General features: G+C 38.4%; 1 protein-coding gene across 26 annotated transcripts in view, besides 1 other annotated feature; it reads right to left on the bottom strand.

Annotated features, from left to right (window-relative positions):
- DNM3 (dynamin 3) overlaps positions 1-27,592 on the bottom strand; it is a 576,969-nt gene that overhangs the window by 489,661 nt on the left and 59,716 nt on the right. For all 26 annotated transcript variants that reach the window (NR_146559.2, XM_017000979.2, NM_001350206.2 and 23 more), the window contains exon 2: positions 6,985-7,058. Coding sequence is in view for 25 of the 26 variants with exons in the window: in XM_017000979.2 (XP_016856468.1) it covers positions 6,985-7,058 (74 nt within the window). In the remaining variant the exon portion in view is untranslated. The remainder of the gene's footprint in view (positions 1-6,984; positions 7,059-27,592) is intronic.
- Positions 16,990-17,190: a silencer, noted in NCBI's record as "peak455 fragment used in MPRA reporter construct". NCBI's record gives its function as "represses an SCP1 promoter by STARR-seq MPRAs in K562 erythroleukemia cells {active_cell/tissue: K562}" and the evidence as "EXISTENCE:reporter gene assay evidence [ECO:0000049][PMID:32103011]".

Raw genomic sequence — 27,592 nt, 5'->3', positions numbered from 1 at the left:
TCCCATATCTCCTCACCGGGAAGGTCCTCCAGCCACCCTGCGCCAGAGCAATCAAGCCAGTAGCAGCTTGGCAATTCCCTGGACAAAGCCTCCGGGAGCAACTAAAAGCCTCTCTGCCACTGCCTCTGCAGTGGAACTACCCTTGCTACCCTCAGACTAATGAAGAAGCAAAGATCCTAAGTGCCTTATTCACACCTCCAGCAAGCTGCAGTTGACCTAAGGAGGAAGGCCAGACTGTCTCACATGGGTCCCACACACCCTCCAGTGCTCATCACCAGACAGGGAACCCCTGGCTTGGTCCCATAGCACAGACCCTCCACCCTGGGCTGATTGCACTAAGCAATTGCTGACCTGCATCTCTCTGGGGTGGAGCCCCCAGGAACCAAGCAAAAGACCCTTGGCCACAATCACTACTAAGGTCCCTTCCTCCACTGCCTCCAAGTGGAGGAGGGAACACAAGTACTGAGATCACACCAGAGTGGCAGTGAGAAGCCCAGGAATGCCAAGCCACAGTCTATAGCCAGCACTCAAGAGGGAGAAGAACCCACCCTTTCAGAGTGTTGAGAGGGAACAGAGCTGCAACTGTGAGGAAAAATAGGGGAGCCACATAACTGAGGAAAAGTCTACCAATTGATTAATTAGCCTAAGTGCCACCTACTGGATCACACCCCAAAGCTTCAACACCAAAAATACCTCACTAACATACCCCACCCTGAAGCCAGAGATAAGAAGTCAGCTTCAAAGAACAACCCTGCACAAAGCCTTGGCTTGCTGAAAACATCCAGAAAAGAAGTCTATCAACTGTATTCAATCTACACTGTAGTTAAAGGAACACCCACATGCAGAGATGAGAAAGAACCAAAGCAAGAACTCCAGTAACTCAAATGGCCAGAGTATTATATGTCCTCTAAACAATCACACCAGTTCTCCAACATGAGTTCTTAACCAGGCTAGGCTGGTTGAAATGACAGAAATAGAATTCAGAATATGGACACAAACAAAGATCATTGAGATTCAGGAGGATGGCAAAACCCAATCCAAGGAAACTAAGAATTACAATAACGGACAATATAGCCAGCTCCCTCCATATTCCTGCAAAAGACATTATCTTGTTCTTTTTTAAGGCCATATAGTATTCCATGGTGTATATGTACTATATTTTTTTAAATCTAATCTGTCATTCGTGGGCATTTAGGTAGATTTCATGTCTGCTATTGTGAATAGTGCTACAATGAACATTCACATATGTGTGTCTTTATGGAGGCTATATTGCCCTTGGCAAACTAACGCAGGAACAGAAAACCAAATATTGCATTTTCTCACTTATAAGTGGGAGCTAAATGATGATAATTTTTGAACACAAAGAAGGAAAAAGTAGACACTGGGGTCTACTTGAGGGTGGAGAGTGGGAAGAGGGAGAGGAGCAGAAAAGATAACTTGAGCACTGGGCTTACTGGACTTAAAACCTGGATGATGAAATAATCTGTACCACAAACCCCCATGACATGGGTTTATTTATGCGACAAACCTTCACATGCACCCCCAAACCTAAAATAAAAGTTTAAAAAATACAACTGATTGTTGTGTATTGATAGTGTATCCTGAAATCTTGCTAACATAGTTTAGTAGTTCTAACAGTTTTTTAGTGGACTCTTTAAGTTTTTCTATACATGTGATCACATCATCTTCAAATAGAGATAATTTTACATCTTCCTTTCCAGGGTAGATGCCTTTTATTTCTTTCTTTCCCCAGCTGTCCTGGTTAGAACCTACCGTACAATGTTGAATAAGAGTGACAAGAGCAGACATCCTTGTATTATTACTGATTTTAGACAGAAAGCATCCAGTCTGTCACCATTAAGTATGATGGTAGCTATGTGGTTTTCATATAAGCCCTTTACCAGGTTGAGGAAGTTCCTTCCCCTTTATTTACTAAGAGTTTTATCATGAATGCATGTTAGATTTTGTCAAATACTTTTTCTGAATCTATTGAGGTAATTCTGTGATTTTTTTTCATTCCACTGATATGATTTTCAGATGTTAAACCAATCTTACATTCCCGGGATAAAACAAGCTCATTCTGAAATTCATATTGAACTTCAAGAGACCCAGGATAGCCAAAACAATCCTGAAAAAAAATAAAGTAGAAGGACTTGCAATTCTCAATTTGAAACTTACCACAAAGCAAGGGTAATTAAGAGAGTATGCTATTGGCCCAAGGATAGACATAAATATCAGTCGAAAAGAACTGAGAGTCCCAAAATAAACCTGTATTTCTCTGGTCAACAGATTTTTGACAAAGGGGCCAAGATCCTACAGTGAGGAAAGAATAGTCTTTTCAACAAATTGTGCTGGGACTAGTGGATATCCACATGCAGAAAATAAAGTTTGACACTTAGTGCATAAAATTATTAACTCAAAATGGATCAAAGCACAAACAAATGGAAAAACATCCCATGCTCATGGATTGGAAGAATCAATATGGTTAAAATGACTATACTGCCCAAAGCAATCTACAGATTCTATGCAATTCCTATCAAATTACCAACATCATCTTTCACAGAATTAGAAAAAACAATACTAAAATTAATAGGGAACCAGAAGAGAGCCCAAATAGCCAAAGCAATCCTAAGCAAAAAGAACAAAGCCAGAGGCATCACATTACCCAACTTCAAACTACTCTATACTAAACTATACAAGGCTATAGTAACCAAAACAGCATGGTACTTGTATGAAAATAGACACATAGATCAATGTAAAAGAACAGAGAACTCAGAAGTAAAGCCACATATTTTCAACCAACACGTCTTCCACAAAGTCAACAAAAACAATGAGGAAAGAACATCCTACTCAATAAATGGTGTTGGGAAAACTGCCTAACCATATGCAGAAGAATATAACTGGACCCCTATCTCTCACCATATACAAAAATTAACTCATGATGGATTAAAGACTTAAATGTAAGTCCTCAAACTATAAAAATTCTAGAAGAAAACCTAGGAAAAACTTCTCCAGACATCAGCCTAGGAAAAGGACTTCTCACTAAGACCCCAAAAGCAATGCAACAAAAACAGAAATAGACAAACGGGACTTAACTAAACTAAAGACATTATGCACTGCAAAAGAAACTACCAACAGAGTAAACAGACGATCTACAGGATGAGAGAAAATTTTTGCAAACTATGCATCCAATAAAGGACTAATATCCAGAATCTATAAGAACTTTAAACAAATCAACAAGAAAAAAACAAATAACCCCATTAAAAAGTGGGCAAAGGCCAGGCACGGTGGCTCACACCTGTAATCCCAGCACTTTGGGAGGCCAAGGCAGGCAGATCACGAGGTCAGGAGATTGAGACCATCCTGGCTAACATGATGAAACCCCATCTCTACTAAAAATACAAAAAAAAATTAGCCAGGTGTGGTGGTGGGTACCTGCAATCCCAGCTACTCGGGAGGCTGAGGCAGGAGAATGGCATGAACCCAAGAGGCGGAGCTTGCAGTGAGCTGAGATCGCACCACTGCACTCCAGCCTGGGTGACAGAGCAAGACTCTGTCTCAAAAATAAAAATAAAATAAAAAGAATTTAAAAAAAGTGGGCAAAGGGCCGGGCATGGTGGCTCATGCCTGTAATCCCAACACTTTGGGAGACCGAGGTGGGTGAATCACCTGAGGTCAGGAGTTCAAGACCAGCCTGGCCAACATGGTGAAACCCCGTCTCTACTAAAAATACAAAAAATTAGCCGGGCGTGGTGGTGGGCACCTGTAATCCCAGCTACTCAGGAGGCTGAGGCAAGAGAATCACTTGAACCCAGGAGGCAGAGGTTGCAGCGAGCCGAGATCCCGCCACTGCACTCCAGCCTAGGCAAGAAGAGCGAGACTCCATCTCAAAAAGGGGGAAAAAAAAAAGTGGGCAAAGGACAGGAACAGACAATTCTCAAAAGAATACATAAAAGCAGCCAACAAACATAAGAAAACAATGCTCAACATCATTAATCATCAGAGAAATACGGATCAAAACTACAATAAGATATCATCTCATACCAGTCAGAATGGCTATTGATATGTTTAGGCTTTGTGTCCCCACCCAAATCTCATCTTGAATTGTAATCCCCATAATCTTCACAATCCCCACATGTCAAGGGAGAGACCAGGTGGAGGTAATTAATGGGGGGCAGTTTCCCCCATGCTGTTCTCATGATAGTGAGTTCTCATGAGATCTGATAGTTTTAAGGGGCTCCTCCCCTTTGCTTGGCTCTTCTCCTTCCTGCCACCTTGTGAAGAAGGTGCCTTGCTTCCCCTTTGCCTTCCACCATGATTGTAAGTTTCCTGAGACCTCCCCAGCCATGCTGAACTGTGAGTCAATGAAACCTCTTTCTTTTATAAAATACCCAGTCTTGGGCAGTTCTTCATAGCAGTGTGAAAATAGACTGATACAGCTATTGTTAAAAAGTCAAAAATAACCCATGATGGCAGGGCTGCAGAGAAAAGGGAACACTTATAAACTATTGGTGGGAATGTAAATTAGTTTAACCCCTATGGAAAACAGTATAGAGAATTCTCAAAGGACTAAAAATAGAACTACCATTTGACCCAGCAATCCCACTACTGGGTAGCTACCCAAAGGAAAAGAAATTATTATTTCAAAAAGATACCTATACTTGTATGTTTACTGCAGCACTATTCACAACAGCAAAATCATGGAATCAACCTAAGCCCACCAACAGTTGACTGGATAAAGAAAACAGGGGACACATACACCATAGAATACTATGCAGCCATAAAAAAGAATGAAATCATGTCCTTCACAGCAACATGGACTGAGCTGGAGGCCATTATTCTAAGAGAAATAACAGAAATAGGAAATAAAATACCACACATTCACACTTACAAGTGTGAACTAAACAGTGGGTAAACATGGACATAAAGATGGGAAAAACAGATGCAAAGAACTCCAAAAGGGGGAAGAGTGGAAGAGGGGTGAAGGTTGAAATTCTACCTATTGGGGACTGCGTTTACTATTTGGGTGATAGTTTCACTAGAAACCCAAACCTCAGCATTACACATTATGCAATATAACAAACCTGTACCTATCCCCAAATCTAAAATGAAATTTAAAATTTAAAAATTAGTAATTTTAAAAAATGGATCAAAGACCTAAGTGGAAGATCAAAGCTATAAATCTCCTAGAAGAAAACATAGAATAAAGTTTTATAACCTTGGTTTTGGCAAAGGATTCTTAGATATATACAAAAATAACGAGAAATGAAAGAAAAAAGTAGATAAATTGGACTTCACCAAAATAAAAAATCTTGTGCTTCAAAGGACACTGCCAAGAAAATGAAAAGGGCCTATAAAATAGAAAAAAAAAATGCAAATCAAATATCTGATATGGGACTTGTATTTAATATATATCTGTTACAATTCAGTAATACAAAGGCAAATAACCAAATTTAAAACTAGGCAAAGGAAATGAATACACATTTATCTAAATAATATATACAAATGATCATTAAGCACATGAAAAGATGCTCAGTATCTTTAGTCATTAGGAAAACGCAAGTCAAAACCACAGTGAGATATCACTTCTTACCCACAAGGGTTAGCAAGGATATAGAAAAACTGTAACCCTCATACACTGCCGGTAGGAATGTAAAATGGGGCAGCTGCTTTGAAAACAGTCTGTCAGTTCCTTAAACAATTAAACAGAGAGTTACTACATGGCCCAGCAATTATACTCAGGTATATTTCTAAGAGAAATGAAAACACATGTCCACACAGAAACATGTACATGAATGTTTATAGCAACATCATTCATAATAACCAAAGGGTGGAAACAACTCAAATGCTCCTCAGTTAACGAATGGACAAACAAAATGTGATCTATCCAGACAATGGAATATTATTAGGCCATAAAAAGAAATGAAGTTCTAATACATGCTACGACATGGATGAACCTTGAAAAGATTATGCCAAGCAAGAAAAGCCTATTACAAAAGACCACATATTAAATGATTCTATTCATATGACATGTCCAGAATAGGGAAATCCATAGAGACAGAACATAGGTTAGTAGTGCCTAGGCTGGAGTGGTGGGGAAAGGTGTTATGAAAAGAGGTGACAGCAGAAACATACAGGCTTTCTTTTGGGAGTGATCAAACAGTTCTAAAGCTGATTGTGGAGATGGTTGCACATATCTGTGAAAAGACTAAAATCTATTCAACTGTTAACTTCTATTGGTCAAGTTGTATGGTATGTAAACTGTATCTTTAACAAGCTATTAAAAATATTTGCAATTTATGATAGATGATTTTTATGAGGTGCTTCAGTCTTAAGCATTCAAAGAAATTGATAGGAAAACTAGTAAAATCCCCAAAAAGAAATGGGGAAAAAGAAAAATGGCCAATTCACGAGAGAAGAAATACAAATGGCAAATAAACATGAAAAAAAAATTCAACATCATCAGTTGCTGAAATAAAATGAAAATAAAAACAAAGCATCATTTACCTATCAAATTATCATGATGTAAGAGAGAGAAGGAAGCATAGCACAGTGTAAATATAGATACGCACATACACATCCATACAGATATTATATGGTTGTTGAATTTTATGAGTTAATCCCCAAGTGCATGTGCATGCACACATACGCACACACACACACACACACACACACACACACAAAGCATACCAAAGGAGTATTAGTGGTTGTGCTGTACTGTAAAATTATATAGATGGATTACAATGAGCAATAAAACATTTTTTTAAGTAGGTATTTTAAAAAAATCTATGAAAATATCCCCTTTAATGTAATCAAAGGAATGAAAAGAGCAATGAAGAAGGCAGCATTCTGGAGAGAAATGTGGGCAGCTGCCCACAGTGGGGCGATCACAAAAACGTTTCTATTTGTACAATCCCACACCTATGAAGGCAAAAGGGGCCACAGGATGTGCCCATCCATGCGGTAAACATCTTCATTCATTACCTGCTTTAGAAGTAACAAGCTGCAGCACAAGAGGTCGTCTTGTTACAATGCCCGACCCTCGAGGGAGAAAGTCCCTAAAAAAAGTAAGAAATACAGATTAAGGCATGAAGGAATTCTTATCACCTGTACATTCATAAACCAAGTTCCACAGCAATTCTCCTAATTCCCAACCTTTCAATGTATCGCTTATCCAAACAATGATAGGCCCATCTTAATAAAAGAAGCATTTTCAAATTTAAAAAAAAGGAGGAGGAGGGCCTTATATTGCACAGAAATCCATGTACATTATCATAATGACTTCACTGGAATATGTCATTCATTCATCTAGCTGAAACTGATAAAAGTTTGCCCTTAGTTTCTGTGTATTATCAATGAATTTTGATTTTCAGAGAATCAGCATTAAAGAAAATATGTGATACTGAAATTAATTCTTAAACTCTTTTTGATAATTAAAAAACCCAGTACGCTCTTTGGCCTCAAGATCAATATTAGCACCATCATATACCACTACTAAAGGCACATTAGATTGTATCCTCTAAATATACTGACACTTTTCTCCAATAAAAGGAAACAAGGCCGGGCACAGTGTTCCACACCTGTAATCCCAGCACTATGGGAGGCTGAGGCTGGTGAATTGCTTGAGTCCAGGAGTTCAAGACCAGCCTGGACAACATAGCAAAAACCCAGCGCTACAAAAAAAAAAAGAAAAAAAAAAACCCTACAAAAACTAGCCAGCCAGACGTGGTGGCGTGGGCCTCTAGTCCCAGCTACCCAGAAGGCTGAGGTGGGAGGATCGCTTGAGCCTGGGAGGCAGAGTTGCAGTGAGCCAATGTCGCACCACTGCACTCCAGCCTGTGCAACAGAGTGAGACTCTTGTCTAAAAAAAAGGACACATAAAATGTGGGATCAAGTAGAAATAAGTATTTTGTCTATAGAAATTAACAGCAGAAAACAAACATTGCAAATTGAGTTTTGTTTGTTCTCATTCCATTTGTTCTTATTCCTGATAAATGGACGTTTTGATAAAGATCATATTTTAAATGACATATTAATAAACACTAAGCTAATAAAACTGCAGCAAAGATAGTACTACATAATATTACATCTGCAATGCCACATAAATTATTGCTGATTCTGCAATGTCGAAGAATTCAAAAACATACCTATAGCACAGTTTTTAAACACATTTAGAATGTCTCACAACTTTTAGAGGAATCATCACAGAATTCCATTCAAAATAAACTTTTCACTCAGTGGCAGTTTTTCTCAAAATGTGGTTCCAGGCCCATCAGAAAGTATTATAACCACAGACACCCAGGACTCATCCTGAAGCTACAGATTCATCATATTCAGGGGAAGGCATGCAGCATTTGTACTCTTAACAAGCTCCCAGATGTTTCTGATGCTCACCAAGGTTTGAAAACCACTGGCCTCAAGTCAGGATATGTTACTCAACAATTCAGTGGGCAATAATGGCATGTGGCGTGCTATGAGTTTTGTAGGAAATTTGGCAGAACAGAGCTTCAACACAGATGGGATTTCAATGAACAGCAGCTTATAAAATAGGCAAAGGACAGTGAGAATGCTCCAAAACCCAAGTGTTTAGCTGCACTGATAGTTTGGAATGGAGAGTCAAAAAGATAAAATCAAGCCAAATTTCTCCTACTACAACTAATTTATTTGGCAAGTGCTACTGTGTGTTCTGACAGAGGAAATAGTACTGAACAACCTTAAGTTAATGACTTTTCTCATTGACTTCAAGGACCAAAGTTCATTTAGAATGTCAACGTATATGACTACAATAGAAAATAGTGAAATTACAAATTTGTATGTGCTTTTGAAAATGCGACTGAAATACCATTATTTATTCATCAAAAAAAATTCACTGAGAAATTAAGAAGTGCTAGGGAGATGCTGTGGGCATGGACTCATGCTGGGTAGACACCAGGAGTTCGGAACCTAATGGGAACAAAACATAGTCATGAAAACCATTAAAGAAGGGAAGATAAACTACATTGGAGTTCAGAAAAGAGAAAGAACAATACTCTCTTTATAATGATGTTTTGAATATATTTAAATACATATAACTAAATACACTTTTAATATTCTTCATGCGCTATATTAGAATAACTGCTAGTTTAGATGGCTTCAACAATCATTTAAAATTTAATCAAAATAAACAAAGCATCTACTTTGTTTTGTTTGTTTTATTTTTAACCAAAAAGGAACAGGTTAATTTGAGAATCAAAATGAATGCAGGGAGGGAAAAAAGCAAAACTCCAGAGTAAAGAGCTGGAGGGCACCATGGAATACTGTTCAGCCATAAAAAAGGATGAGTTTATGTCCTTTGCAGGGACATGGATAAAGCTGGAAACCATCATTCTCAGGAAACTAACACAAGAACAGAAAACCAAACACCGCATGTTCTCACTCATAAGTGGGAGTTGAACAATGAGAACACATGAACACAGGGAGGGGAACATCACACACCAGGGCCTGTCAGAGGGTGGGGGGCCAGGAGAGGGACAGCATTAGGAGAAATACCTAATGTAGATGACGGGTTGATGGGTGCAGCAAACCACCATGGCATGTGTATACCTATGTAACAAACCTGCATGTTCTGCATATGTATCCCAGAACTTTAAAGTATAATAATAAAAAAAATTTAAGTCAGGATATAAAAATAAAAAGAGCTGGAGGGCATCTGTTTGAGCCGTGAGGACCATGAGTGAAATTTTAGGATGTATAAAATGCCAAGGAAAAATGATGAATGGCCTGAATAATGCCATTTAACAAGTCAATAAAATATTTTCTTCAAGAAAAAAGGCAGAGAAGAAAGGACAGAGAGAAGAAAGAAGAAAAAAAGGTTTAGTCACTTTATATCTTCATGCTGAGACCTGTTTCAATTCATGCTTGTGACCATATATTTATATGTAGATTTAGTAACAATCCCTGTGAATGTTGTTAAAGCAAAATAGAATGTATCAAACATTATAAATAGCAAATAATTATGTGTTGACTAAAAATACACAGATACATCTAACATTTTTCTCTACATTTTTTTTATTAAGCAAACAGAACTTTGCATTAAGAGTAATAAATAGATTCCAGTATCCAACCCCCTTCTTATTAACTCACAGTTACTAGTTCCCTTCATGGCTCTCACCAGTCCTACCACTGACAGATATATTCTCACCAAAAGCCAAAAATTTTGATAATCAAATTTTACTATTTCGAAGTCTATCCTGTTTCACAGGCATCTCTGAAGTACAACAAAGTGCTAAAGAAAAGTTTCTCTCTTCTGAAGAATGAGCACCTAATCTGAACATCCTAAAGATATGTCTCCTTCTGATGGTCCAGCAAAATGAAAACCATATGCCCAGCACACTCTTGCTGTGTGAGCTCAGGAGATGAGTCCTCGAATGAGAAACACAGAACCTTCCTTTGAATATTAGCTCTACCACTGAATGGGCAAAATTCTCTCCGAACCTATTTCTTTTACTTCTAAACTGAGATAATGCTAACTATGGCCCAAGTTGTATGGATCAAAAGAAATGCAACAAACGCCAACCGTTTTAAAACCCAAGCACCACGGAAAAATGTTACTATTATTTTTGATATAACACAGCCACAGTGTGTTTTCCCTGATATTGTAGTATTCGCTTACCTTAAAAAACTAAGTGCCTACATACAATATTTTAACATTTTGCTAATGGAATTTGGAGATAGGAGCCACAGACCCCATTTGAACTATCCTCTTGGTGTTGATCACCTGCAAGGGTTTGGAAAGCACTTATGCCTGCCTTCAGCAACAGGGAGCCAAAGCACTGACACGAACAATATTGAATAGTTCATTAGCCACTGAGCACCACCATCCAATTGAATTGTATCATTTTCTGTGCAATAGGTTTTCTCCCGTAAGCATATTTTATGGGAAAACCTGTAAGCATGTTTTATGGGAAAACATTTTTTAAATAAATGCTGGAAAAATAATGACTATTCCTTTAGCATTACTTTGGATTTAGACTACATATTTTTAAATTTATTTTCTAATATATCTATATAAAAAGAAAATATGTATGCCATTTTTCCTGCAAAATGTACCTTCAAAAAGTAACCTGAAGACTCAGTGTTATTAAATTGATTCTGTTATATTGCCCAAATGCCTTATTTGTGGTTGAACTGTACAGATTTTCAGTCAGAGAGAGTGCTTCCCTCTGGATGCCACATGACAGCTACAAATCAAATGCCTTTCTTCTCTCTCAACCCATCTCAATAAAGCGTTAATCTTCAGTGTTAACAGCTGGTCTTCAGGCAGTAAGTTAATGCTCTTTCATGGCTTCCTGACTCCTAGACAAAAAAATAGAGTACAATTCCCACACTATAGTTTAAGAACCACCTTGATGACATTTCTTATTGGCTCTTCCAGTAACTGAGTTACCAGGAAATATAGTTATTGCTCCACTAGGAAAAGAATGATCTTTGGAAGCCTGAAAAAGAACACACTAGCTGTATCAAGAAAACTAAAAAAAATTCCCCCCGGCAGCAAATAAAGTAACTACAGAGATGGTTTCTTCAATATAGATGTAAATGATTGTTAACCAGATAATCTGTACAGTAAATAAATGTTTAACATCTGCCCTTAACTGAAGATGGGAGGCATAACTCATAGTTTCCTAGAAGTTGATTCATGGAGCCAATTTATTCAAAAATAAACAAGCTCAGCCTTGGAGGAGGACAACATGCAAATAAATAACTATAATAAGCATAACAGGTACTATGCTTAAGCTCCACCCAAGGTAGAGTATCAACATACAGCAAAGAATATCTATCCTGCTTGGAGGAGCTGCCAGAAACAATATCTGAGAAGAAATATGAGGTAGGAGGCATTCCACAGAAAATCAGATATACGAAGACATGGAAGACCAGAGTAGCACAAAACATCACAGAACTGTAAACATTAAAGAGAGATCAGAATGAGACAGAGAAGAGTCTACAGAAGGAAGCCAGAACAGACCTCAGAGGTCTTTACTGGTAGTTTGTGTTTGTCTATTTTCTGTGGGAACAGGAAGGCGCTATAGAGTTTTAAGTGATCAGATTTGCATTTCAGAATAATCACTGGGGATTATATAGAAAACGTTGAAGAAGAGAAAGATCAAAGACAGGGTGATGAGTCACTAGTCAGTAGCCGGTGTATGTCATTCAGAAAGAAGACAATAAATGTCAAGTCCAAGGCAGTAATGGTAGAGATGGAAAGAAGACAAATGGCAGGATTTAATGATTGCTTTGATGTGGAATCTCCTTCTGATGCCCCTCCTTCTGATGAATCTCCTTCTGATGTAGTGATATGGAAGAGTTAGGATAAATGTCACATTTCTGGTTTGGGTAGCTGGTTGAACAATGGTATCACTAACCAGGACAGGAAATAAAGGAAGATCTGATTAATATAGTGCTTACCATGTGCCAGCACCAATCTGATTGCTTTATATGCATTAACTTGTTTGATCTCATAACATCCTATGAGGAAGGTACTATTGTTATTCTTACTTTACAGATGAGAAAACAGAGGCACAAAAAAGTCAGATAATTTGCACAGGGTCACAAAGCTAGTAAGTGACATATGGGACTCAAATCTAGGGAGTCTAACTCTAGCATCTGTGCTCTTGACCATTTTTCTCTACATTGTAAAAGAAATGGGGGAAGAAAATGAGTGGTCCTTATTTGTACACATTTATCTTTACATGCCTGGGGAATATCTGATTGAAACAACATGTAGGCAGTTAGACTGAACAGTTGGCACTCAGGACAAAAGTCTTGTCTGGAGACAATAATTTGACAGTGAGCAACAGAGCAGGAAGTTGAAGCCAAAGGAACAGATGAGTAGGAATGGAGTGGAAACAAGTGATTAATATGGACTCTCAGAAATACCAACATTTAATGGGTACCTGAAAGAAGTGGAACTGAGAGAATAGAAACGAGCTACCAGAGAGGTAGCCAAACACTAGAACTCAAAATCACATTAACCTCTTAAACATCTCTACAACTCTTAACATCTCCACTAGGTGTCTGGAACCAAACATCTCTACAACTCATTACAATCACATTAACCTCTTAAACATCCCTACAACTCATTACAATCATATTAACCTCTTAAACATCTCCACTAGGTGTCTGGAACCAAACATCTCTACAGTTCATTACAATCTATCCAAATGTTTCTCCTCCTTCATTCCCAATCATAATCCACATCATCAGCATCCATAAATGTCCGCCAAGCCTAGCACCTGGGAATCATCCATCCTCCTTCTACCTCTATCCTCATGCTCCAAGTTGGTCACCATGTCCTGTTGATTCTATCTTAATATCTCTTAAATTCACCCTCTCTTGTCTATTTGGATCACCACTCCAGCTTCCACCAACTATCATATAAACTGCTACACTAATCTCACAACTAATTTCCCTGCATCTAATTTGAGCACCCTCCTATCCAACTTTAACAGTGATGTAAGTTCTATCACATCATTACCAGACTTTAAATCACTGAATGACTCCCCAGGATCTTTAGCATGAAATCCAAATCTTAGTATCACTTACAAAATATTTTATTTCTGAACATTCTCCAAGTGAAACCCTACATCAGAGGCATAGAACTTCTTACAATTAATTTAACCTATTAATTCAACAAATGTGCATTATGTGTCTACTACAAGCTAAATGAAGCCTTAGACACTGGAGATATAACAGTAAACAAAGCAGAAATAAAGCCTTGTCCTCTAGTGTAAGTCTCTGTGCGCATCTGTGCTCTTAGACTTCGTGTCTAGGCACATCCCTATCCCCCTAAATCTTCAACACTCAGCTGCATGTCATCTTCTCTGGGAGTCTTCTCGAGGTCCCCCCACCCCCACATGTCTCTACCTAAGCTCTCAACACACACTTGTCTGCTCCCTCACCCTTGTGTGTTCCCTCAGAGCCTCCTTCAGTGCCTAGGCACTAAATATTTTTTACACTTTCTACATACCCTTTCAAGAAGATTCGTCATTGTTCCATATAGTCATAACATAGAGAGAAAACAATCCTACATCTAATTCACAACTGGCAGACAGCTACAAGGCATTATATGGACCAAAAGAATAGGCAAGATGACTCTCAACTCACCAGTAATTTGCTGGGGTCATTTAAATTGATATTATGAACATTTAAGACCCAAATATATTCACCAAATTACAAAATACGGAATACTAGGTGGGCCAATATTATTGACTCTGTCTAATGACATGGAATAGAATTGGAAGAAAATAAAATTTAAAAAAAAATCCAGAACCAATATATTTTTAAAATTTTTTTCCTTAAAAACAGAGAAATCTCAGCCAGCTGTGGTGGCTCACGCCTGTAATCCCAGCACTTTGGGAGGCCGAGGCCGGCAGATCACCTGAGGTTGGGAGTTCAAGACAAGCCTGATCAACATGGAGAAACCCCATCTCTACCAAAAATACAAAATTAGCCAGGCGTGGTGGTGCATGCCTGTAATCCCAGCTACTCGGGAGGCTGAGATAGGAGAATCCCTTGAACCCAGGAGGCGGAGGTTGCGGTGAGCCGCGATCGCATCATTGCACTCCAGCCTGGGCGACAAGAGCAAAACTCCATCTCAAAAAAAACAAAACAAAAACAAAAACCAAAAAACAGAGAAATCTCTTTTAAAACTTAATTTTCAAAGTATTTAATACAATTTTCTGGCCATGCACAGTGGCTTACATCTGTAATTTTAATACTTTGGGAGGCCAAGGCAGGAGGATCACTTGAGCCTAGGAGTTCCAGACCAGCCTGAGCAACATGACAAGACTCCCTTCTCTACAAAAAATGTAAAAATTAGCTGGGCATGGTGGCTTGAGCCTGTAGTCCCAGCTACTCGGGAGCCTGAGGCAGGAGGATTGCTTGAACCCAGGAGGTCGAGGCTGCAGTGAGCCATGTTCATGCCACTGCACTTCAGCCTGGGTGACAGAGTGAAACTCTGTCTAAAAAAAAAATCTGTGCACCAAAATAATTCCTATAGGAGTACTATCTCACAATATTTCAATATACTGATCCAACAAAAAAAGAAACAAGGAAAGGGAAACAGGCAAAAGAAAGGAGATAGGAAGAGAAAGACAGACAAATCACACAAATACTGCCCACCCCCTGCTCCAAGAAGCACTGAGGTCAAGAATCCAGTTCCACACCCTGAACACAATGGTGCTATTAAAATAGCTCTGTACTTTCATGCCCAAATCCGGGAACTTTGCCAACCATTACAATGCAATTTTAATCGCTAGAGGAAGTAATTTTACCAAAATCTACAGATTTAATTGGAAATTTTCTACTGAAGTTTACTTTTTTTCTCTAAATTATTGGCATATATTAAGAATATTAGTACTTACAGATTTACAAAGAATCATATTTTGATGCTGTCAGCTACTCTATAATATGAAGTACTCAATACCATCATAATTTTATCTGAAAAACATATCTACAAATTCAATTGCAGGAAATACAATGCTTTTACTTATTTTTTGTTGACATCTTTAAGAATCCCAATATTTTGCTTTTATTCACAAAATTCAAAATTTCTAAACAACATATTTTCATGAAATCTAAATAATCAATAATTAATGGTTCCCACTGAAACATTTAGAATGCAAAAGTTTCTGAGTCAGGGATCTATAAACTGAACAAAGAAGTCAGTTCTCACTTTACAAATACTAAGTGTTCTCCCCACCAGGAAACATGCTGAAGAACTTAATGCCTTAATATTTAATCCATTTTATTTGCTTATGCACTAAGTCAGTCTGTTCAAGAATTTAAAGCACCAGATGAATGAGTCCTGGCATAAAATAAAGGCACTTAGCTTTCACTTTTTCCAAATCACAGATTATATTTTACCCAAGTTGGCTGCCAGGAAAACGAATGGCAAAAAGCACTAGTAAAAAGATCACTGGTTGCCTACCTAATATCTATTTTCCCTTTCTTATTAACAGAATCCCAATTTTGCTGGGAATGGCAATGTGCCCAACTTTAATAGACAAATCAATCTGCATTTCCCAGCCTCCCTTGCAAATGGGGTGTCCACATGACTAACTTCTACCCAGTAAGATGTAATTAGAGGTTTTGAGTGACATCAGAAGAGTTCCTTTAAAAGGTTCTGATTTCGTTAATGTGTAACTTTTACCCTTCCTCTTCTTTTGTCTCCCTGTCAGCTATATATGATAGTGGAGCTGCAACAACCACCTTAATACTACAAGGTAATTGTGCAGATGGAAGATCAGAAAAGAACAAAGAGTAGGATAGTGATGACATTATAGGTCACTGGAACCAGCCTTGTACTACCTAGGAAGGAGACAAAGAAAAAGAGAGAGACAGACAGACAGACAATGATTTAAGCCAGTGTTTCTCACCCTTCTTTTCATTATGGTTCCCCTAATGAAACTTATTTGATATTTTTCCCCATTAAATGTTCCCCTATTAAGTTTAATATCATAGATATACTATATACCAGTATATGTGCTCTACATACACCTGCGCTTTAAACATAAAAAGAGTAAGACTCTTTTTGTCCCCCAAGAACCAGTTTTTGCCCTGTTGGGGGCAATATCACCCCAACTGAGAATATGTATTATACATCAACAAAAAATAAAACTCAGGATGCTAAACATTCAGTTCTGTTAGCCACCCCTTCCTGCAGAGTTTCTAAAAGAAATGCATGTGGAAAGGACAAACTGAGCTGGGTTTTGCTGCAAACTTCAATGTATTCCCTTTCCAATCCTGGAAACATGGGCTGGACCACATGAAATCCTCATTTGGCCTAGGTAAGAGGTAGCCCTAAGGCCTGGTACCAAAGAGGCTCAAAGGCCTCCCTTGCCCCTCTCCACGAAGCCCATACATGAATCTCAGACTTTTCTTTGACACGACAGTGACTAGAAAAGTTTGTCTTCCACCTGTGGAAGACAAACCAGCCAGTGAGAAGAAGCAACAGCAAGAGAACACTTACCCGCTGACCAGGGCAGTTCTGGTCTAGACAGCTCACGTCAACCCCTCCCCTGCTAAGGCTTCAGATGAAGAAATGGGGCCCAATTACTGTCCTTGGTCCTGAATATACATTACCAGCTCCTTGGCAGGAGGCTGGAAAAGAAGAGCGTGGATAGGGTAGAAGTGAGCTTCTCCAGCCAATAGTGTACTCTTTTGTTTTCACTATTTTAAGATGCTAGAGGCCAGGCACAGTGGCTCACACCTGTAATCCCAGCACTTCGGGAGGCCGAGGCGGGCGGATCACCTGAGGTTGGGAGTTCGAGACCAGCTTGGCCAAAATGGCGAAACCCCGTCTATACTAAAAATACAAAAATTAGCCGGGCGTGGTGTCACGCACTTGTAATATCCCAGCTATTCAGGAGGCTGAGGCAGGAGAATCACTTGAACCCGGGAGGTGGAGGTTGCAGTGAGCCGAGATTGCACCACTGCACTCCAGCCTGGGTGACAAGAGTGAAACTCTTTATCAAAAAAAAAAAAAAAAAAAAAAAAGATGTTGGGGTAAAGTGAGGTATTTAATTGGAAGCCAAAAAAGTGTAGGTTGCTTTCTCCACTAAAACAGAATGGAGCACTACCATGGTCACATCCTGTTTATTTAAAAAGAATGGAATCTGATTTTCCAATTAACCAGGAAGGATTTAAGTGGATTCCTGGATCCAGCTTCTCTCTCACTCTCTAGAAGCCACATCCATGATTCCCCCACGCAAACTTTTTATTCCCAGAACAGCTGGCTCCCAAGGGATTCTACACTAATTTCACACTTCAGTGTTGACTCCTTAACCACAGAAGCCTTTGTCTAATGCCTCTTTCTTTATTGAGGAATGAACTCACTCTTAAAGACATGTTGATGCAGCCTCCTGTGGGAAGCATTTCCTGATATGCCGGCATATTTAGATGCCCCTCCTGTTTTTTCCAAAAGTACCAGGAGCCCAAGTCAAATCCTCTCCTATGTAGCCTCTCTTAGGACAGGACAACCTTGCTCATTTCTATAAGGCACAGACTTACAGGCTCATAGTAAGTAGTCAAATATATTAGCTGCTATTATCCTTATCATCATCATTACTATCATTGTCATCATTTTTAGTATTGGTAAGTTATTCTGGAATTCATTCATTATTTACCTAAATTCGTTTCTGAAGCTAATATATCACCATATCAACAAGTAGTGATTATCTCTTGCTAGCCACAGGTAAGCATGTAGCTTTAGGGAGGGCTACATCCAATTTGTCACACTGTTCAGTAGCTCCCCCTTACCTGCAGGGGATATGTCCCAAGACCCCCAGTGGATGCCTGAAACCACAGATAGTACCTGACTCTATAATACTAACAGGCAGATAGTGTATACCATGTGGATATGCTAGACAAAGAGATAATTTACATTCCATGTGGGACAAAGCAGAATGGTAAGAGATTTAACTAACTACTCAGAATGACATGCAATTTAAAACATAAATTGTGTATTTCTGGAATTTTCCATTGAGTCTTTTCAGACCGCAATTGACCATGGGTAACTGAAACAGCAGAGTGCAAAACTTCAGATAAGGGAAGACTATTGTATCTAGATTTTAGGGTGTTATGAAAAGGAAAATATATCAACATAAACACTTACAACTTTAACCTTTTCATCTGTTTCTTGGAAAGTCATCAGCTACCTAAAGACTTCATTCTCTAAGAGCTCTCACTATTCTGTCTTCCATGAGAAAAGGTTAATGCAAAACATGGAATGAATGCTTAAATCAACAAAAGAATCAACACACATTCCAACCGCAGTGTGCTCAATTCAAATACAGAATAAAATGAACCCCCTGGCATCCAGAGTATTCCACAAGCGTGTGGCAAGTGTTATTTCTAGCCACTTAAAAGCACCAGTGAAAAGAGCTCAAATACATAGAGAAGAAAAGATCTCCGTTCCCATGAGGAGAGGCATTTATTAGCACTTAATGGCCTTCTTTCATTGCCTTTCCACTGACGCATCTCTAATTGTTCCAATTATAATTTCAAGTAACAAAACCAATAACGGTAACAGTCTATGGTTGAGTGTGTGCATTTTGAAAAGAGGTCTTTGACAGCACAAACTACATACAAAAATATATGACAACATGGGATCTGGGCAGGCAATGTGATAGTCAAGAGAGAAGAGGTGGTATGGAAAGAGCACTAGTCAAGAAACCAGCTTGGGTTTCAGCTGTAACCTCACCACATCATTTAATCTATAAGAGACTCAGTTTCTACATCTTTAAAATACGAAGACTAAAGAGTGTCTTCTGATGCCTCTTCTAATTCTTCACAGAATCTGATTCCACCTCTGACTTTTTTTTTTTTTTTTTTAAGACAGAGTCTCACTCTGTTGCCCAGGCTGGAGTGCAGTGGCACAATCTCGGCGCGGCTCACTGAAACCTCTGCCTCCCAGACTCAAGCAATTCTCCCACCTCAGCCTCCCAAGTAGCTGGGATTACAGGCATGCAGCACCACACCTGGCTAATTTTTGTATTTTTAGTAGAGACGCTATGTTGGCCAGGCTGGCCTTGAACTCCTGACCTCAAGTGATCCACCCAGCTCGGCCTCCCAAAGTGCTGACATTACAGGCGTGAGCCACAATGCCCAGCCACCACCTCTGACTTTCTAAATAATCTTAAAGCTTTCTGTTTTCACTTTCATAACTGGGACTGTTAGTATCCAGTTTAAGTTCAGAGACAGCAAAGACTATGTCATTTATTTTCTTCCCACTACTACACATGGCACATAGCAGGTGTTCAAAAATATTAGTTAAAAGGAAGGAAAAAAGGGAGGGAGGAAGAAAAGGAAGGAGGCAGAAAGGCAGGAGGAAGGAAAGATGGAAGGAAGGGAAGTAGGGAAGGAGGGAGGGACAGGCCACATTTAATATGGCTATAGCATTACATGTAAGAGGACAATGGTAAAAGATAAGCTTGGAATATATATCTCCTACTTTTAAGAAAGATTACATTAGGAAATTTCAAATTTAGAGAATACACCATATTAGAGAATATTATAGAGGTATCTGTTAATGTTTTCAGTGCGAAGAAATTAAGATACTAATAAACAAATGTACAATAAGCTATGTAGGGTTATATGTTAATTATTATTATTATTCATTTAAAATACTTTAAAATGAAGCACAAATTTTTATTATTGAATATTATTCTTCACTGTCAGTATCTAATATCAATAAAGATAGGAAAATAAGCACCAATCCATCAAAAATTAAAATACTGAAATTTGGAAATTAGGGGGGAAAAAAGATAGAAATCTCCTGATCCACTGGATGGAAAAAACCACTTCTAATATAAGAGTTCTACCATTAGCAAATAATATTGACAAAATATAAGCACTTATAATTATTTAATTACATATTTATGCAACCTAATCTATATTACTTTTGTTAATCTGAGCATGAATATGCAAAATGCAGTAATAGCTACATGCCAATAACTCAAAAGTATAAGTGACTTTTCAATCATCACCCTCTGCAGTGTATGTTTTCAAGAAGTTAATGCAAAAAATTCATATCTTATCTCCTGCATTAATGGGATTTGAAGAATAGCCCAATATTTTTAAGCTATAGGTTGTAACCAATAAATGAGTTGTGAAATAAATTTTGTAGAACTTGACCAACATATTTTCATAATGGAAAAGAAAGGAATGGAATTCAACAGAAACTATATGAGTGTAACACACAGAAATGCTAAGTATTTTATAAAACTTTTATTTCCATTTTATATAGATACACGAGGTCACAATAAAATGTATTTCTTACAATGAGATACAGTCAACGATTAGAAAACATTATGTGTATCTTTACTATTCTACTTATAAGTATATGTTTTTGGTGTTTTAGATATATTCCAATTCTGTATGTCAACATGAAAAAGTAGTTATCATTGAACATAGCAGAGAATTTTATATATTTAAAGCATATAATCAAAATCCTGAAAATCACAAATTTTTGCATCTTAAGTCCCACTGGAGTTACAGTTTTAAATAGTGGATCAAAGTAAGCCTCATTGTGAAAGTGAGAGTTTAGTAACGACTTGAAGGGGTAAGTGAATTAGCCATGCAGACATGTGCCTGGCATGCTAGAGAGGAATGAGCAAGGGGAAGAAGTCAGATATTAGGTCAGAGAGAAAGAAAGGGGCGCCAGATCACCTCAGCCATTGTAGGAACTCTGTATTTTCTCCATGTGAAATGGGGAGTGATGGAAGAATTTTGAGCAGAGGAGTAACATGACCTGACTTACTTCTTTTTTTTTTTTTTCTGTGACGGAGTCTCACTCTTGCTGCCCAGGCTGGGGTGCAATGGCGCAATCTTGGCTCACCGCAACCTCCGCCTCCCAGGTTCAAGTGATTCTCCTGCCTCAGCCTCCCCAGTAGCTGGGATTACAGGCATGCACCACCTTGCCCGGCTAATTTTGTATTTTTAGTAGAGACGGGGTTTCTCCATGTTGGTCAGGCTGATCTTGAACTCCCAACCTCAGGTGATCTGCCCGCCTCAGCCTCCCAGAGTGCTGGGATTACAAGCATGAGCCACTGCGCCCGGCCTGACTTACGTTTTTAAAGGATTGCATTAGCCATTAAAAATCAACTGTGGGGATCAAAGAGAGAAGCAGGGAAAACAATTAGGAGATGTTACAGTAATAGAGGCAAAACATCAGGGAAGCCTAGACCAGAATGGCAGCAGTGGAGACAGTTAGAGGTGGTCCATTTCTGGCTATAAATAAAAACAGAGCCAGGATGGAATTATTTTTTCCCTGGAATGAAATGTGGTGAGAATCAAATTTTGTTTCCAAAAAGACTTGGGTTCAAATCTCAGCTCCACCTCTGACTGAGACTGTATTATCTTGGCTATATTTTACATCGTCTCTCTAAATCTCATGATCCACATCTATAAAATAAAAATAGTATCACTTACTTGAAAAGTTTTTGAAAGGACTATATAACATGCATAAAGCACATAGCAGGACTGCAATAAATGTAACCTCTTTTCCTTCGTGATGATTATTTGTTAGAGATATATTTAAAATACAAAAAAAACAGGAAATCCTAAGCAGTGGACATTCTGTAAGTTAAGAATTTTTTATGAAAATAACATATAGCTTCCAAAATAAATTGGGTATCTTAAAAAATGTAAATGATTAATGCATTTTCATTAAAAAACAAAAATAGTAGACTCAAGATTATTTCATACTCTTCAAGTTAAAGTACATTATCAGTGAGATTCTGTGCAAACATTTCTTGTCCAAGTTATTTAAAAAGAAACTATTATAAGGAAGGAATCAAAAGTTTTGTTGCTGGGGGTCGGGCAAAAAAAAAAAAGTTTTGTTGGTAGGGCGTGGTGGCTCACACCTATAATCTCAGGAGTTTGAGAGGCTGAGACAGGAGGATCCCTTGGGTCCAGGAGTTCAAGACTAGCCTGGGAAAGATGGTAAGACTCCATCTATACAAAAAATTTAAAACTTAGCCAGGTGTGGTGGCACGTGCCTTTGGTCCCAACTATACGGGAGGCTGAGATGGGAGAATCGCTTGAGCCCAGGAAGTCGAGGCCGCAATGAGCCATGTTCACACCACTGCACTCCAGCCTGGGTGACAGAAGGAGACCCTATCTCAAAAAAAAAAAAAAAAAATGCAATTGAACTACAGCTAGAAATATCTTACTAATACTTGACAAGCCATTTCATTCATTTCTTCAGCAAACCTTTGAAAGCAACAATATTACAAGCATGTGAAGAGGCTAAACAATCTAGTAACTGCCTCTTCCCTCTGGGAAATGAGTCTGGTACATCCATCCTTCACATACTAAATCACAGTCTGCTTACATCAGTAGAGGGCCACCTCCTGGAATTAAAAACTCTTTACTTCCAAAATAGCCCATTTTTTTTTTGTCTTGAGACAATACTTTTAAGCCTACTCATGGTTTTCACCCTCACAATCTACTAGTCTCCATGATGATTTTCCCATCTGTCCAGCTCTTTCACTCTTCAATAAAACTAATTTTGTGTACCATTTCCAAAAATCTATTCAAAATACCTCCCTTGTCTATTGAGAAGTTGTCTCCTTTTAACCACCTCATTATGTTAAAAGTCCTCTTCCTGAGTTTTAATATTCTCCCCTAAATCTAGTCTTACATGAAGTAAATATTTTTTAGCTATTTTCCTCCCCACCACATATACCGAAAAAGAAAAATCCTCAGCTACCTTGAGACAGGTCTCCCTCAGGCCCTCTCCCCATGCATATCAAATTTCTCCACACCATGCTTTTGCTACTTGGACTCTCCCACCCTTAGCTACTTTCTGTCTCTTTAAGGTAAGTCATTTCATTCAATTCTCATAACCAGCTGTGATTTAAGCAAGGCAGGCAATATCTCTATATCACAAATTAAGAAGCCAAGAATTATTTTTAGACTCCTTACTCCCTGCATACTCAGAAAGGAAGACTGATATTTGACATGAATTTTGAATGATGAGTTAGCATTTTCTAGGTTGTCAGATGAGGATGACGACATTTCAGGATGGATATGTAAAGACCACAGGGGTATTAAAGAGAAGTATGCAGTATACAGTAACATATGCATGTGTATATGAATGAATGTACGCACATAAAGCTATGAACTGCTCCACAAGACTCAAGAAACAAAAAATGTCACATCTTTTCATTTTTCAAATTCAAATCAGTTCAGACTTCAAAGCTAAGAGTCAGCCACATCAGTAAGAAATCTAAATATCAGATATGCCTAAGAGCTCTTCTCTCACCCCTTGAGTGGTGTAAGGACCTCAAAGATGATGCAATGAAGGAAAATTAGGCAAGGCCTGTAGTCACTTGTCCAGCGCAATCCCCCTGGAGAAATTCATTGTCTAAACCCCGTGGTTCTGTTGAAGGTAACTTCTTTCCACTGGCAGCATTCACTGCTTACCCTCCATGCCACCCTCCCTCAGCCTCCGTACCAAGTTATCTATAAGGACCTTCACCATGGATATCAAAGTCATGGTCTCAGTGCTCAGTCATCCCCAACACCCACATAGCCATACCTACCATAAGGACCTCCAAGACACTGCTTCAGTAAAGCACCAGCTTCAACTACCCGCAAAAAAAACAGGCCATCTTTGACTTCCTGTCTCTGGGAAATGTCCTTCTTTCCTGAGAGAAACTGGCCAGTCTTCTAAAGAAAACCCTCATGTCTTTCCTAATATCTTTCAACAGCATTAGGGTTTGGTTGTTCTCCCAAGGGCTTTAGGTGCAGGATGATCCTAAAAGCCTGGGCCATGAATTCTAGGACCATCCAAGAGCCTATTTACCTTCCTTGGGAATAAGGAGGATTTATTATTTAGGAATGCAGTGGACAGTCTCCCATCCCCAAGGATGGATTGTATGCTTCTCTTAATGCTGTAGAACAAACAATAAAGTTGCATTTTCCCATCAAGTTATGGTAATTTTTATTTTTTCTTTTGAGACAGGGTCTTACTCTGCCGCACAGGCTGGAATGCAGTGGCACAATCTCAGCTCACTGCAACCTCTATCTCCTGGGCTCAGGTGATCCACCTCAGCCTCCCGAGTAGCTGGGACTACAGGTGCGTGACACCACGCTGGCTTTTTTTTTTTTTCTATTTTTTGAGGAGACGGGGTTTCACCATGTTGCCCAGGATGGTCTTAAACTCCTGGGCTCAAGAGATCCACCCACCACAGCCTCCCAAAGTGCTGAGATTACAGCTGTGAGCCACTGCGCCCAGCCTAGTAAATTCTTAATAAGCTGCCTTGTTACATATATAAGTAACTTAAGTCTTCCTTCTTTCCCAATTATACTTCTACTGAACACTAGTTGGTTACAATGAATGTAGTGCCCATGTATAGTAGAGAATGAATTCTAGCTCTGTGATTATCTTGGCTATAATAGAACATTTTAAGCAGTTTTTAAGCAAAATTTTAAAATGTTCAAGGTCTATGTAAAATTTCCAGCCCTTAATGTCTTTCCAGTTTAGGTTACTTAAGCCCCCTTTTTCAGGAGTAAAATGTCTACAAGTTAAATTTTCAAGTTCAAAGTTCAATTAAACTTCCAACAAAAATGTCTTTATCAATTTCCACATTAATAATGTGCTATGATTAAAAGACAATGAAGTACAAGTAAGAAAGAGTTTAGTCTTGACACTAGCTACAGGACCTTAAACAAGTTACTGAACTCTCTTTTACCTGTACTTTCCTTTGTAAAATAACAATAGTATACTTACCTTCCCCAGTGTACTTGAATCACATATTAATAAATAAGATAGCCCTTGGGAAATGTCTCTAAAAATTGTAACGTGGAAAAAGAAAGTAAGGTGGTATTACTGTTAACTTCCATCTTGGAGCATAAATTTAAATGGAAAAAAATACATACAGAAAAATAAAATTCAAAATGGTATCCAAGTACAAAGGAAAGATCTATGATAAAGTTACAGTATTTGCCACTGTCTAGTCTATGACAGCAAACTATATACATACAACATTTTTTAAGAATGACACTTTTATCTTATTTCTCTCAATTAGAATTTTTCCTTATGCTTCTACCTCATTTTCACCCCTAATTAAACCCTTTATTTTTATTTATTTATTTATATATATTTTTTGAGACAGGGTCTCGCTCTGTCACCCAGGCTTAAGTATAGTGGCACGATCTCAGCTTACCTCAGCGTTGACCTCCTGGGCTCAAGCAATCCTCCCACCCCATCCTCCCAAATAGCTGGGACTATTTGGCAGTCCACCACCATGCCTGGATACTTTGTTTATTTTCTGTAGAGACGAGGTCCCACTATGCTGCCCAGGCTGGTCTTGAACTCATGGACTAAAGCGATCTTCCCGCCTGAGCCTCCCAAAGTGCTGGGATTACAGACATGAGAGTTCAACCCTTTAACAAGCATTTTTTAACATAGATGCTATAGAAATTTTTCACTCATAGCACAGAAGAATACAAGTAGTTTTTAACCAGTAACCATTCTTTTACGTGGCAAATTGGAATTTCCAATCCTTGATAAACACCTAACAACATGTCATAACATGTCATCACCAACAGATAAGTCAATCACTAAAGTATGTTGCTTCTGAATTTCAACATAAAAGACGGTAGGTAACACTGACTGAACCAAATGTTAGTTTAAAAAAAAAAAGATTTAAGCCTTTGATCAATTAAAAAAAATACTCCCTCCTTTTGGCAAAGATTATCACTCCTCAACACATTTCTGTAGAGTCAACAACAAACATTCCAGGTCACTACTTTGATTTTAAGCCATTGTCTAGATTTCAGACTCTTGATTATAAAAGACAAAAACATTTCTCACATCAGAAACTTTGGATCTCAGGAGGTTTCAAGGCTTATCCTTCCTGAATATCAACAGGGCTACCACAATTCAATCATGAGCATTTTTACTTTCATTTTACAAAAGTCTGATTTTGTTCATTGGCAGTTCTCAAAGAACAATTAAAATACTTATTTCTTGTAACTGGTTAAAGAAATTTAATGGACCTTTCATAATTGATTTTTAATAGTTTCTACTATAGGTTACTATTTCAATTAAATGGATTAAAAGGGCAAACTATAGTTTAGAATTAAAAGAGGAATATTTGTTACTTAAAAGCTAATAAAGTTAATGTGTTTTCCAGGTTTCAGAATAGAATGGGGTTATTAATTCTTGAAAAATTCTATTTATTAACCTTTTTATGATTTCACAGGGCAATACAGATTGAAAATTATTATTTTTTTAAATGTGCTATGGAAATGTAAACTTGAACTAATATAGCTTCCTGGGCATTCTTTTCATCTATAACCAGGTTTTCTGTACCTTCTACACATCACAGCTCTATCTCTCATCAATTTATGTAAGAAGCACTAAGCCTTGGATGCCCTACAAATAGTAACAGAGTGAGACCCTTTAGGAAAGGTCCCAGCTAGCACTTTAATTGCCAAAATTTTATTTTAATGTCAAACTATAAAATGCAGTTGGCATTTTCTTGTTCACGTTCTTAAAACATAGTATACCGAGTATTTAAACATTTCTTGATGGAGCATTCATTTGAAATACCAATTATTGCTACTATGTTAAAACATAGTGATGCCTTCAGTTGCTATTACAGAGGGGTCTGGTAACCCTGCACAAGTTGTGAGCTTTTATTGGCATTATTATTCCTTTTGGAGGCATTTTCTGACATGTCTGTCCCTCCTTCGTTATCAGCATATTGACTACCACTTCTCCCGGGCATCAGTGTGCCTGCCCTCACCCACGCGGCTCCTCCTTGCTCCTCCTCTGTAATGGGTGTAGATGTCAGACAAGCTGACTGGTGAGAGTTGTGTGGAGCTGAGTGGGCTCTGTGCAAGGGCCTGAATTGTTCACTGGTGAGTAATCTAGAGGAACTTTGCTCCACCACCTCAGCTGCTCAGGGCCTATTTCATTCACCTCTTGTCTCTCCGTGCTGTCTTCTTTCGGGATTATATGGAAAAATCAAGAGTGCGAAAATGCTGTATAAGACATCATAGATGATTTTTTTTTCTGTCACAATTACAAAACAATAAATTT

Source organism: Homo sapiens, chromosome 1 (assembly GCF_000001405.40).
Source record: "Homo sapiens chromosome 1, GRCh38.p14 Primary Assembly".
NCBI classification, from domain to species: Eukaryota; Metazoa; Chordata; class Mammalia; order Primates; family Hominidae; genus Homo; species Homo sapiens.
This window is presented reverse-complemented; position numbering and strand designations above follow the sequence as displayed.